General features: G+C 48.8%; 1 pseudogene, besides 1 other annotated feature; it reads right to left on the reverse strand.

Moving 5' to 3' along the window:
- Nucleotides 9,515–10,215: an enhancer, noted in NCBI's record as "H3K4me1 hESC enhancer chr20:46454838-46455538 (GRCh37/hg19 assembly coordinates)". NCBI's record gives its function as "activates a minimal SCP1, AML or CMV promoter by ChIP-STARR-seq in naive H9 embryonic stem cells {active_cell/tissue: H9 hESC(naive)}" and the evidence as "EXISTENCE:reporter gene assay evidence [ECO:0000049][PMID:30033119]".
- RNU7-173P (RNA, U7 small nuclear 173 pseudogene) lies at nt 10,390–10,465 on the reverse strand (annotated as a pseudogene).

Below are 14,212 nucleotides of genomic sequence, written 5' to 3' on the forward strand. Positions count from 1 at the left end.
TGCTCCCCCAGTGCCTGTTTTAACAGCCTCCCTCCTGCCAAGATGACAAATGTCTCTCAGCCCTGGAAGCTGAGGCTGCCTCCACTGTGAAGCTGATACCACTGTTGGAAGATGCTTCCTCCCACATTGGCACTGCTCTGCTGTGCCCCGGGGTTGCGGCACCTCCTCTGACTGGCCCTTCACTTCAGTCACACTCCTGGAAACAAGTTCCCAGGCAGACCCCGTCCCCAAAGTCTAGGATTCAATTGTCTGCTTATACCAGTGCTAAAAACAGCATGATTTCCCCCAACTCAGCTGCACCTGTGCAGACAAGAATAAGACAGCATATTTTTAGCAGGTAACAGACTGCACACATGCAGGCTATAATTAGCATTTCATTCAAAGGGAGGAGTTTCCCATCCAATGCAAGAGTGACTGACCACGGGGTCTTCTCACTGCAGCCTCTGTCTCAGGTGCCTGGTGCAGGAAGGAGCCAGCAGCACTGAGGGAGACCCTGGGGTTCCCTGGGCACCCAGGAAAGGGGTGGGGCCTTTTTGGATATTGCTCCCGTCACTGCTCATACCTTTCTCTCTGGCCTGTCCAGAGCCTTGGTCCTGCCCAGACCCTAGTGCTGTCCTCCTGTGAGGATGACCTGGCCAGGCCATGTGATGAAGGTGCCCTGTCAGGTTGGTGTGGGGCTTGCAGGTCCTCTGTCCTGCACTCAAGCTGCCCCATGGGGGACAGGGACAGGGCTGGGGTTACCCAGCTGTGGCAGAGACTGCTGGATGACCTCAGCATCCCTCCTGGTAGCAGTGAGCCTAGCTGCCTGGAATAAAGACTGCATTTCCCAGGCCTCCTTGTGACCAAAACATGGCCAGTGGGGTGTGAACATTGTCTTTTTTTCCTTCTCTTTGGATGGGAGAAAACAGGGTACAGATGTCTGGGATGAAGCAGAAGGCAACGGTCTCAAAAATCCGAGGATAAAGATAGAAGGAGGTGGGGCCTCAGTTTCCTCTGCTGTAAAATGGAAGAGTAATTATGTCTATGTTCTGTGGTTTCTGTAAGTTAAGATTCTTTCAGCTGCTAAGTGAAGAAAAATTAAACCCCAATGGTCTAAGGCAAAGGTGGATTTATTGGCTCAGGTAACTGGAAAAAAAATATTCAAGAAAGAGGCTGACTCAGGCATGACTGTTTATCCATAGCCTGGGGGACCTGACTTGCCTGAGTTACCCGTGGCTGTTATTTTCCCCGTAAATTTGTTCATGTGACCAGCAATTCCGGCTTGAAAGGACCATAGAATCTTATTGTAACCCCAGTGTTTAAATCCTGAGCGCACGGGATGTCCAAAATCATCATCGTCACGATTTCTGCCATTCACAGAGCTGACATTTTTCCTGCTCCTCCCAGCTCTTTTTTCTGGCCTCTGCTAAGGTCGAATTCTCCACTCTGCATCTCACAGCTGCCCTTCTTGCTTCTGCAAGGGTCCCTCCATCCAACCACATCGTGGGCTTCTTCTTCTGCTTTTCACATCTCCAAGTTCCACATCCCCAAGTAGCTAATAGAGACACATTTTACTGAACATTTTGGAGCAACCCAGGAGTGTGATTTCATCCATGCCCCGGTCCTTTGGCCATTTCTGCCAACTCTAACATCAGTGTATGTTGCTTAGCAACTCCATTTTTGTTTTTATTAAGAAACTTTAATTCAAAAGGAAAACTCTATCACCAGAGTAAATAGAAAACCAGCATCTTTTCCATGCAAAAGGATGATGACTGTAGAACTAAAAGCAATAAACCTAAACAGAAGGGCTTCATTCTGCAGGAAGCCCGGGGCCTGTCCTTTCTTTGTTCAAAAGGATGAAATGCAAGGTCTGGAAAGGAGCTAAAGGCGCATCAGCACCAAATCAAGGTGTTTTCTTTGAGGTGACTGAAGAATTGGAGAAGAACCACTACAGGATTCAGCGATCTTAGTGCTAGCCCCGTTTGCTTTGTCAAATCATCTCATGTTTATCCTCTGGGAGTTCCTGAGCTAGGAGGGCTGTTGCGGGGCTGGGAGAAGGGAGTTCCAGGCAGCGGGGCTAGCGTCACACAGGCCTGACAGGAGGTGGGGGCCCTGGTTCAAAGAAGTAGCAGAAGCCCGGGTGTGGTGGCTCACGCCTATCATCTCAGCACTTTGGGAGGCTGAGGCAGGAGGATCACTTGAGGCCAGGAGTTCCAGACCAGCCTGGCCCACATGGTGAAACCCTAACTATTTTTAGTCTCTATGAAAAATACAAAAATTAGCCTGGTGTGGTGGCACACACCTATAATCCCAGCTACTCATGAGGCTGAGGCGAAAGAATCGCTTTAACCCGGGAGACAGAGGTTGCACTGAGCCGAGATTGAGCCACTGCACTCCAGCTTGAGCAACAAAATGAGACTCTGTCTCAAAAAAAAAAAAAAAAGTAGCAGAGAGAAGCCAGTGAAACAGGAGGAAAGCAGAGGAGGTGGAAGAGGAGAGCAGGCAGGGGCCAGATGGCACAGAGCCTGGCAGCCACAGTCAAGGGTGCTGCCGGGCTGGAAATCTGGGGCATGAGGGCGTCAGGTGAGTGCTCTTAAAATCCAGGTGGCCTGGGAAAGAGATAAAGCATGGGGGACATTCAGCCAGGCAGGACCGGGTCCCACCCATGTGCCACCCCCAGTGTGGCCTCTGCCCCTCCCTCCCAGCAGGTGACCCCGCATCCCTCGGAGGCTGAGGTGTGGGGTAAGTGGAGGCTTTGAGTCTTTATTTCCTGAGCCCACGTGTCCCTGTCTCTCGGCAGGGACCCTCGGCCAGCTCAGGGGTAAGAATGCAGTGACAGTCAGCGGTGATGTCCCCTGTGAAGAGCCCTGATTGGATTTCCGAGGCATCTCCAGCCATGAGGGCCGCAGACAGGCCCTGGCCAGGGACCTTTATCCGCATGCCTCTCACTCCCCTGATTGAATCTATCGATTCCCTGTCTATCACCACCTTCCCCGAGACACAAGGATGGGATGGTTTAAATGATTTACTTATTTCAAGCCACTGGGGCTTGGCAGAAAAACCAATAGGTGAATGTTAGAATGTTTTCCCTTAATTATTCAGGCTCTCTGAAGAAGAATCTGAAATATCTCGCTGTGAATGGAGCCAAGGTAGAGATGAGGCTGCAGCTGCAGGAAGTGTTCTCTGAACCACCTGCCCTCCTGCCTGGGTCCCCCCACGGCACAGGTGTATTTAATTCACCTGTAGTCAGTGAATGTTGGTGGAGCACCTCTGCCACATTGAGCACTGGTCTAGCTGCAGAGACACAGAGATGGAAACCATGCAGCCTCGGACCCTTCAGCTACTCACAATCTATTGAAAGAGGGGGTGTGTTTGGGGCATGATTAGAGCTATAGTTTAAGGATGGATAGACCAGGTTAGGAGCGCAGTGAAGAGGAAATTCATGGAAGGGATACGGAAACAGAGCTGGAAATGTACACAAGGGTGAGGATATTTGATGCTTAAGAATTTTTAATAAATTATTTCCTTCTTTTGTTTCTTTGAATACAAAAGAAACCTTTACAAAATTTAAAAAATAAAGATTATAGGCCATGCTCTGATCATTACAAATGACATTAAAATAAATGGTAAAGAGATAGCCCTGGCCAGATGTGGTGGCTCATGCCTGTAATCCCAGCACTTTGGGAGGCTGAGGCAGGTGGATCACTTGAGCTCAGGAGTTCCAGACGAGCCTGGCCAACGTGGAGAAACCCCATTTCTACCAAAAATACAAAAAAATGGCCAGATGTGGGGGTGCACACCTGTGGTCCCAGCTACTCAGGAGGCTGAGGTGGGAGCTCTCATTTGAGCCCGGGAAACAAAGGTAGTAAGCTGAGATCGCATGCCACTGCACTCCAGCCTGGGTGACAGAGTGAGACTCTGTCTCAATAAATACATAAATAAATAGAAAAAAAGATAGCCCTGCTAGGAATGCTCTGTGTCTTGATTGGGATGATGTTTACTTGAGTAGACACATTTGTCAAAACGCATTGAATGGGACAGAGAACAGTGCCTTTTACTGGGGAAGGAACTCTCTCCCAGATAACTCCCAGATCAAAGCAGAAACCAAAACTAGAATGATGGTTTCTAGAAAACAACAAGAATAGTTTACACCAGCATCTGAGGGACTCGGCTAGTGCTGTACTCAGAAGAAAATTTATAGTCTTAAATGCTTGTATTGCTCCAGGGTTTCAAAAGGGCGATGGTAAAAGTACTGAGTTCTCAAAAAATAGGAAAAAACAAAAAACAAAACAAAACACAACCAAAAAAAAAACCCTAAATAAGCCAAGATAAAATGGGGAGAGGAAATTAAAGATAAGAGCCAACATCGAATATGCACAGGGTGTGGACGGTGAGTTTTTGGGGGAGTTAGTGATGGGAGCACGCCGCTTCGGAAGTGTATTTTTCCATTTCAGGAGCTGGAGGGTTTTTACGCAGTGGAGTGACCATGCGTGGAGCTGGATGGAGAAAGACCGTGGAGGCTGCAGGGTGGAAAGCTGACTGGGGAAGACTGATAGTCACTGTCTGCCTTGCCTGTTCTTGTTCTCTTCCTGGGCTCTAAGATTTCTTTCTTTCTTTCTTTTTTGACAGAGCCTCTCTCTGTCACCCAGGCTGGAGTGCAATGGCATGATCTCGGCTCACTGCAACCTCCGCCTCCTGGGTTCAAGCAATTCTCCCGTCTCAGCCTCCCATGTAGCTTGGACTACAGGCATGTGCCACCGCTTTCGGCTAATTTTTGTATCTTTAGTAGAGACAGGGTTTTGCCATATTGGCCAGGCTGGTCTTGAACCCCTGACCTCATGTGATCCACTTGCCTCAGCCTCCCGAAGTGCTAGGATTACAGGTGTGAGCCACCACGCCCGTCCAAGATTTCTTTTCCTTCTCTAAATCATTACAGGGGGTCTGGATGCTAGCTGTGCCCTGCCGCTGGGTTATGCAGCCCAGAAATGAAATTTCAAGAGAGTGGGTTCATCTGTGCCAAGTCACATCTTCACCAAAGAAATCTGGGCTCTGATGGGGTCTGCGATGGACTTGTACGTGTGCCATCTGGGGGATGGAGGGTGGGGTGGTGGCCAGGACGGGCCTGTCTGGGAAAGAGGCTTCCCTGAGCCAAGACAGTGGGGGCCACAGGGGACTCTGGGATGGGAAAGCCAGCCCAGCCAGGGTCCTTGGGGGATCTGGAGGGGACGTGACAAAGCAGGAGGGTAGGAGGGGAGCCAGGAGTGGGAAGCTGGGGAAGCCAGAGCAGCAGAGGCTGGAGCAAATCCCGTGGGAAAGAACCAGGAATGGGTGGTTCCTGAGGGAGTGGCTCAAACACCCTCGCAGGGGGGTGGCTCACCTTTAAAGAATGTCTTGCTCAGGCCGGGCACGATGTCTCATGCCTGTAATGCCAGAACTTTGGGAGGACAAGTGAGACGAGGTTGGTTGCAGTGAGCCGAGATCGTGCCATTGCATTCCAGCCTGGGCAACAGAGCGAGACTCCATCTCAAAAACAAAACAAAACAAAAAATGCCTTGCTCTTCCTCAATCAAAATCCCCCTGGGAGTAAAAGATACTGAATGATAGCATACATAAGAAAAGTGCCCAGGCCAGGAGTGGTGGCTCACACCTGTAATCCCAGCACTTTGCGGGGCTGAGGTGGGTTGATTACTTGAGGTCAGGAGTTTGAGACCAGCCTGGGCAACATAGTCAGACCTCATCTCTTAAAAAAAAAAAAAAAAGAAGAGGAAGAAGGGGTAGGAGGAGGAGGAGGAGGAGGAGAAGAGAAAGAGGAAGAAAAGAAACGTGCCCAGATCATAAGAGTACATTTCAATTAATCCTCACCAGGTACACGCTCCTGTGCCCAGACCCTAGATAAAGAAACAGCAATCTCACTACACAGAGTCCAACTGAATGCCTCTCAGAGGGCCACATTCTCCTCTTCAGTGTTGAGGAAATTGGATCCAAAAGAGCCTTGGGTCTCTTTTGGTTGTTTCATTTGAGTATTCTATGGGCAGATTTTTATGTATTGGACTTCTTGAAATGGGACTTACCTGTGCTTAATTTATCTTGATTTCAGCCCACTGGGTAATAAATACAATGGACCCTTGAACAGCACAGGTTAGAACTGCCAGAGACCACATATACGCAGATTTTCTTCTGCCTCTGCCACCCCGAGACAGTAAGACCAAACCCTCCTCTTCCTCCTCCTACTCCTCAGCCTACTCAATGTGAAGAGACAAGGATGAAGACCTTCATGGTGACCCACTTCCACTTAATGAAGAGTAAATGTATACTCCCTTCCGTATGATTTTCTTAATAACATTTTCTTTGCTCTAGCCGACTTTATTGTAGGAATACAGTATATGATACATTTAACATACGAAAACTGTTTATGTTATCAGTAAGGCTTCTGGTCAACAGTAGGCTATCAGTAGTTAAGTTTTTGCAGAGTCAAAAGTTATATGTGGATTTTTGACTGCGTGGGATTTGGTGCCCCCAACTCCCACATTGTTCAAGAATCAACTGTATTCCAAATGACAGAATGTAATGCCAGACATCTGGAAAAGACTGATACAGTTTTCCGACCACCAGAAGAAAATCCACCCAGGGAATTGGTCAGCGGAGGCAGGCACTCAGGTTTCACGGAGCCATGAGTTGGAGGGATTCTGCCAGCTTGGGTGATGAGGGGCTCACAGGTCCCAGGAAGGTGGCAGTAGCCTGGGAGCTGCTTCCTTGAAAACTCTGAACGGGCTGGGACCTGTGGAGAGGGACAAGCGAGGGCTCAAGGGATGGGTCTGAGCTGGTTTTTAAAGTTTATCTGTGTTAGAGAAACTGCCGCTCCAACACCAAGAATAAATCAGCTCCATTTCCCATCACCTCGGTTGCTTCTTTTTCCCATCTCTTCCTCTCTGTAAGTTTTGCCTAAGAAAAATGTATCATGTTTTCTGAAGACAACCGCTTCCCCCTCCTCCCTTGTGAACAGTCAGGCAAAGAATGAATTTAGATTTTTTTGTAGTGTCAAGGCCTCTCTCATTAAATTACTCCCACCATCTCTTGTCTCTCCTGGTGAGTGAGTTTAATGATCTCTTGCTCCTTACTCTCTTGAAAACTGCCTCGTGTGCTTCTGGCTTGGGCAATCTTAATGCTTTGGGCAGCTTTCAGTTTCCTGACTGTAGCTTGCACTCCAGACTTCATCCCCAGCCCGTCCCCATCCTCTTCTCCGCCCAGCGCTTCCCATCTTCCCACATTCCTCTTCTCATCCCCTGTTCTCTCTGCACTTATTTGCTCACTGACATTCCCATATTTTCTACTTCTACTGAAATCCTGATTGTATCCAGTCATGCTTTTTTGATTTTTTAAAAACACTGAAATGTCTGTAATTCCAACACTTTGGGAGGCCGAGGTGGGCGGATCGCTTGAGCCCAGGAGTTTGAGACCAGCCCAGGCAACAGGGCAAGGCCGTATCTCTATAAAAAATACAAAAATTAGCCGGGCATGGTGGCATGCGCCTGTATTCACAGCTACTCAGGAGAGCGAGGCAAGAGGATCGCTTGAGCCCAGGAGGTTCAGGCTGCAGTGGGCCATGATCACACCACGGCATTCAGCCTGGGCAACAGAGAGAGCGCCTGTCTTAAAGACAAACAAACAAACAACCCTGAAATTTTGGCTCACACCTGTAATCCCAGCACTTTGAGAGGCCGAAGTGGGCAGATCACTTGAGGCCATGAGTTGAAGACCAGCCTGGCCAACATAGCGAAATCCCGTCGCTACTAAAATTACATAAATTAGCTGGGTGTGGTGGCGGGCACCTGTAATCCCAGCTACTCGGGGAGACTGAGGCACAATAATTGCTTGAACCTGGGAGGCTAAGGTTGCAGTGAGCTGAGATTTTGCTACTGCACTCCAGCCTGGGCAACAGAGTGAGACTTCGTCTCAAAACAAACAAATACACACACACACACACACACACACACACACACACACACACAAACACAAACAAAAACCCCTGAAATGTGATGATGACCGTTGTGTCCTTATCAACAGCCATTGCTTGCCTGCTTACGTTAGTTGCAGTGGGAGGGTAGGCAGCCAGAAGTATTGGGCATTCCCCTGGCCTGTGCATTTTGAATGATGAATACAAAACTGCTCAATTCACCAAAAACAATCATGTAAGAAAGGAACGTTTCACTTCTTCTTATGGGCCCCTGATTGCATGTGATGCAGGTGACAATTACATATGTCCCCTTAACAGTTTGGAAAATTCTAGTGAAGAGAGGAGTTTAAGTCCCTTCACACTGAACTGAAACAATTAATTCTCTATAAAAATCTCCGCATGATGGATCATGTTGCATTTCAAACCTCTACAGACTGTCTCATATAAATATCTGTTTCTCTTTTTTGAGACAGAGTCTCGCTTTGTCACCCAGGCTGGAGTGCAATGGTGCAATCTTGGTTCACTGCAACTTCTGCCTCCCAGGACCTGCAGAGGTCCTGGTCTCAGAGTTCATGCCCTGCAGTTGCTGTGTGTCCAGCAGCTGGCAGGGCAAGAGGGTTGGGGGGTGGGCGTCACCCCCACAGACACACAGCACCCGGCAGAACCCTGGCCTAAAGGCGCGCAGCTCTGGGGTCTCCCAAGCCCACCTGGGAGTAGGCCCATGGGGACAGCTGTGGGGGACAGGGACTCCCAATGTACAAAACAGGCCATGAGCTGGGCAAGCTACTCCTTCTCATAACCTCAGACCTTTCTTCTGACCCAGTCAGGACCAGCTCCTGGGAGCCTGCAGACAATCCTGGGCCCAGAGAAGCAGGCAGATGTGGCTGTTGGTAGCACTAATATGGGTTGTGAATATCATCCTGTGGTTATTACTTTACTTACGTTACCTGCCAGTACACTCGATCCTGCATATGTCCCCTCACTTCACGCTCACGGGGTTTGAATGATGGGACGAGCACTCCCAGCAGGTGATGAGGGTGATAAATGGCACCTGACATTCCTGGAGCACCTGTTGGTGCGCAGGGCGGGGCTTAGTGCTCTGTTTGAGTCTGGAGACTTTACTCTGCAACAGCAGCTGTGTGACCCCCGGTAAGTGGTTTAACCTTTCTATGCCTCTTCTTTCTCAACTCTAAAGGTGGATAATAAAGTCCCTGCCCTCAAGCAATCAAAGATGTGTAAGAAGGGCCTGGCACATGGCAGGCAGGCAGTATACATGGTTGGGATTAACCCCACTATACAGATGAGGAAACTGAGGCTCAGAGGCACTGGCCTGGCAGGAAGTAGGACCTTCGCCCAGGCTTGTCTGATGCTGAGCGCTTTGGCCTCCATCCCTTATGGCTGCTCCCCACTCCACACTGGGACAGATCCTGGAGAGGCAAACCCCAAATACCCTCCCTAACCAGAAACCGAAATACCAAAATCCACTAGATCCCAGCCCTTACAGCTGCCTTCAGAAGGGACAGAGCAGAGGGCCACCCCCTCACACGCACACAGGGGCTGACCATCCAAGGTTGCCAATCACCTGGCTGCGAGCAGCCCTGTTCCCACGGGGACACTGACCGCTCCGAGTGCCCGGCATTCAGGCCTCGAGCCACCCACTCTGCACTGCACGGGGCCTCCTTGGAACGCGTCCCTCCCCAGAGGCCGTTTCTCTGTGGGATGGCGCTGCTCTGTGGGGAGGACCCCACCTCCCTCCTTCACGACGACCTGCCCTCACCTGGCTCGTCTCTTGGTAGACACTGTCCCACGCATCTCTGTCATTTGCATGCCACCGTGGTGACAGTCTTCCTGGCCACGGGTGTGACAGGGCCTTTTAGTTTCTGACTGACACAGTCACAGCCCGATTTCACCTGATTCCACTTACAAAGGCAGGTTTCCCTTCCCAGCCTCACATGGAGGTGGTCTCCGTGGAGTTCAAGAGGATGTGGGCTGGGAGGAGGGGCAGCAAAGAACCCCAGCACACCCCAAGCAGGAGGTGGCAGGGTCCGTCCGGCCATCTGGAGACAGCCAAGACCCTTGGCCACTGCAGATCCCCCCACTGAGCCTGCCCCCATCCCCACTCCACACTGGAACACATGCTGGAGGGGCAAACCCCAAATACCCTCCCTAACCAGAAACCAAAATACCAAAATCCACCAGATCCCAGCCCAGCATGGCCAGATAGTCTGACTTTCCAACGAAGTCGAAAATACAGATTTTTAGAATTAAAATGTAAATGCTGGCAACTAATTCAAATTCAATTTTGTGGTGGTGTTTTTTTGTTGTTGTTGTTTTTGCATGGAGGGCTTTCTGGTGAAAACCAGACCCCACCTGGGAGCAGGCCCCGGGGGGATGGCTGTGGGAGAAGGGGACCCCTTCCCCGCAAGTACAAAGAACAGGCCACGAGCTGGGCACAGATGCCTCTTCCCGAGCCCACCTGGGAGTGACAACCGGAAAACGTGCTAGACAAATTCTGAAAGAGCTGGAACACCTTACATTATTTTAAAAGTCCCCAGGTTGAGTTAATCCCAGACCCTTTACAGCTTTTTCCTTCTGATTGGTGAGGCCTCAGCTCAAATGTCACCTCCTCAGAGAGGCCCTCCCCCATGGCCCTATTTAAGTAGCCCCCACCAGAGTCTCAGTCAGCGACACGCACCCTTCATTTCCTTCTTGGCGCTGACCCCTACCTGCAAGTGCCTCGTCATTTGCGGTTGGCATCTGCACTGTCCGTCTCCACCAGCACTTAGGCTCCGTGAGGACAGACGCACGTCGCCTTGTGCCCTGGTGAATCCCAAATCCCTGCCCTGAGCGCAGTGCCTGGCACAGAACAGACACAGGCAATGAGTGCTGCTGAAAGTTCCCCATGGAGCCAGTGGTGATCTGTCCAGGCTCTACAGCCCTCCCGCTAAACGTGTTCAGAGACGGGGACGCTGGGGCCATCCTCCTTGCTCCACTCCTGGTGAAGAGCCCTCAGACCCATAAGATGGGCTTGTCCATATCACCTTCTCAGGTGAGCCTCATACATAAGCAGGTTCAGTGGGTTAACCAAGCCTACATCTTTAACCCACGTGATAACCACAGTACCAGGTTTCTGCCATCAAATCTTTTCTATCCTCAGTCCTGCCTTGGGAATTCAAACTCACCCAGAATTCAGAGTTTCACAGACTCAGAAGAGAATGTGATGCCAGATTGTTCTGAAATGTTTGGTTTTAAAGCAAGATCAAATGATTACATTTGTGATCTGAAATCATTTGATTGTATCAAGCCATATCCCCTTCCAAATTATTTTCTTTAAATTCTCCCCAGAACGGGGAGCAGTATTAATTGTTTCCAATGAAAAGACTGCCCCTTTCATCAAAGCCATGAGCTTTATCTGCTGTTTTTGAATATAACACTGGCTTAGTGAAAGTGATTGTAAATAGCAGGTCTTCTTTGTGCATTTTGTGCTTCCAAATGTGCTACTTGGAATAAAGAAGTGAAAAGTTTAAAAATCCTCTCTTGTAAATGTTTGGAAATTGCACTAGAGTTATTTCTTGCTCTTTGAGGGGAGAGGTCACCCTGCAAACATACAGTCACACCTGTTCGGCTCCCCCGGGTTTTGAATGTCACTAAACCCCCACTTCCCCCCTACCTTGGCAGGTCAGACTCTGTGAAGGACGCTCACTGTCTGTACGACCTCACACCAGGCACAGGGACTGGGGGAAAGAGACACATCTGGCTTGTGGGACATTCCTGCAAGGCCAGTTTTCTGGTAGGGAGGTGACACCTGCAAAGGAATCTCTCATTTCTCCCAGCTCCAGCCAGTTTCAACAACAGGTGGGGTTTTCTTTCCTCTCAATTGTTATAGATTTCTTTTCTAATAATCAAAGTCATGACTCATTTTGAAAGTTTTTAAAAATAGAAGAAAACAAGATTTTAAATCACACGTGATACCAACACCAAAGATAAGCAGCATTCGCATTTTGCTATGTAGTGCTCCTGTTAGACATACACACACATATGATCACACTTACACACTTATGCATTTTTGCTTCATTAAAATAGAATACAGCTTTATGGGCCAGGTGCAGTGGTTCATGCCTGTAAACACAGGCAGATCACTGAAGGTCAGGAGTTTGAGACCAGCTTGGACAACATGGTGAAACCCTAGCTCTACTAAAAATACAAAAAAATAGCTGGATGTGGTGCATGTGCCTGTAATCTCAGCTACTCAGAAGGCTGAGGCAGGAGAATTGTTTGAACCCAGGAGGCGGAAGTTGCAGTGAGCCGAGATCTCACCATTGCACTCCAGCCTGCACAACAGAGTGAGACTCTGTCTCAAAAAAAAAAAAAAAAGAAGAGCTTTGTTTACACTAAACAATATTTTGTGTCCATATTTACACATAGATAACAACAGATCACTATCATTTTTGGTATGGGCATATGTAGATATAAGTATTACATGAATTTCCTACTTTTTATCCAGTTATGGTCATATCACCTATCAGTGATTTAACTTCAGCCAAGACAGAAGTTTATCTCATGAAAACCAAGACTGGGCCGGGCACAGAGGCTCACGCCTGTAATCCCAGCACTTTGGGAGGCTGAGGTGTTTCACTTGAGGTCATGAGTTCGAGACTAGCCTGCTCAACATGGTGAAACCCTGTCTCTACTAAAAATAAAAAAAATTAGCTGAATATGGTGGCACGGACCGGTAATCCCAGCTATTCGGGAGGCTGAGGCATGAGAATCACTTGAACCCAGGAAGCGGAAGTTGCAGTGAGCTGAGATCACGCCATTGCATTCCAGCCTGGGCAACAGAGCAAGAGTCTGTCTCAAAAAATAAAAAAGTAAAAACAAAACTGGAGGTTCTCAGTCTAGGGTGGCGTTAGGGACTTTCATTTCCTTCCAGAGGACATTCTGCTATCCGCAGGGTAGAAGCCTAATCCTCAAGGTTCAAGGTGACAAGAATAGCTCCAACCATCATACGCTTATTCCAGGAAGCAGGTCAAAGGATGGAACAACTAAGAAATGACATTAAAGATATGTGTCAGTCCATCTGCGTTGCTATAAAGGAATACCTGAGGCTGGTTATTTATAGAAGAGAGGTTTAATTGGCTCACAGTTCTGCAGGCTGTACAAGCATGGCACCAGCATCTGCTCCTGGGGAGGCCTCAGGAAGCTTCCAATCATGGCAGAAGGTGAAAGGGAAGCAGGTACATCACATGGCGAGAGAAAGAGCAAGAGAGGGAGGAGGATGTGCCAACCCCTTTAAACAACCAGATCTCCCATAAACTCAGAGCAAGAATTCAGTCATTGCCATCAGGATGGCACCAAGCCATTGTGAGAGGGATCTGCCCACATCACCAAAACACCTCCCACCAGGCCCCACCTCCAACATCAGGGATCACATTTCAACATGAGATTTGGAGGGGACCAACATCCAAACCATATCAAGACAGAAGTTACAGAAGGGGGTCTCCAAAAATACCACCCAACACTTTTATTGCCTCCCATTGGCCAGAACCTGGTCACATGGCCACAACTCACTGCAAGGAAGCCTGGGAAAATGTAGCCTGTGCCCGCCCACTAGGAGAGGGGAGCACTGGTGCCAGGGTGTGGGACCACCAGTGGGCATTTATGCTTCCTACTTCTTTCTTCTTATAAAAATCCTTGAGATTCATCTTTGCATATTTTTCTGACTATTTCCTAGGGATCAATGCCTATAAATGAAATTTGGGACCAAAAGTTACGCACCTTCATTGGCCAGTTGCAAAATTGCCCTCTAGAAAAGTTGTACCAACGAACTCACCCAAGAGGTGGGGTTCTATTTCATGAAATGTTTCTCCACCCCACATTTCCTTTTAATCCACACCCTTTGGCCTTTATTAGGCTTAGACATCTCTTCAGAATCCGTGCTTCCTACATCATAATCTTGGGATTCAATACATGTTTTTCATTCGGGTTATTATTAATATCAGATTTATCTAACTATGCGTGAACCCAGCCACAGCCTTAGGGAAAGAGATGTATCTTTCAGTGCTGAAGAGAATAAAAATGAATAATCCTCAGAGACTTTGAAACTGAAGTGGGCAGGCAAGGGTGGAAAGAACAGATCTCATTCTACGAAGTGCATGGAGGGATATTCACAGAGCATGTAGTGCTGAGTAGAGCGGAACAGGCACCCGGGGACACCCAGAGAGCAGCCTTTCCTCAACAGAAAAGGAGTGAGCACCACACAGAGCTGCAGAAAGGGAATCC

The sequence above is a fragment of the Homo sapiens genome, chromosome 20 (genome assembly GCF_000001405.40).
Source record: "Homo sapiens chromosome 20, GRCh38.p14 Primary Assembly".
NCBI lineage: Eukaryota > Metazoa > Chordata > Mammalia > Primates > Hominidae > Homo > Homo sapiens.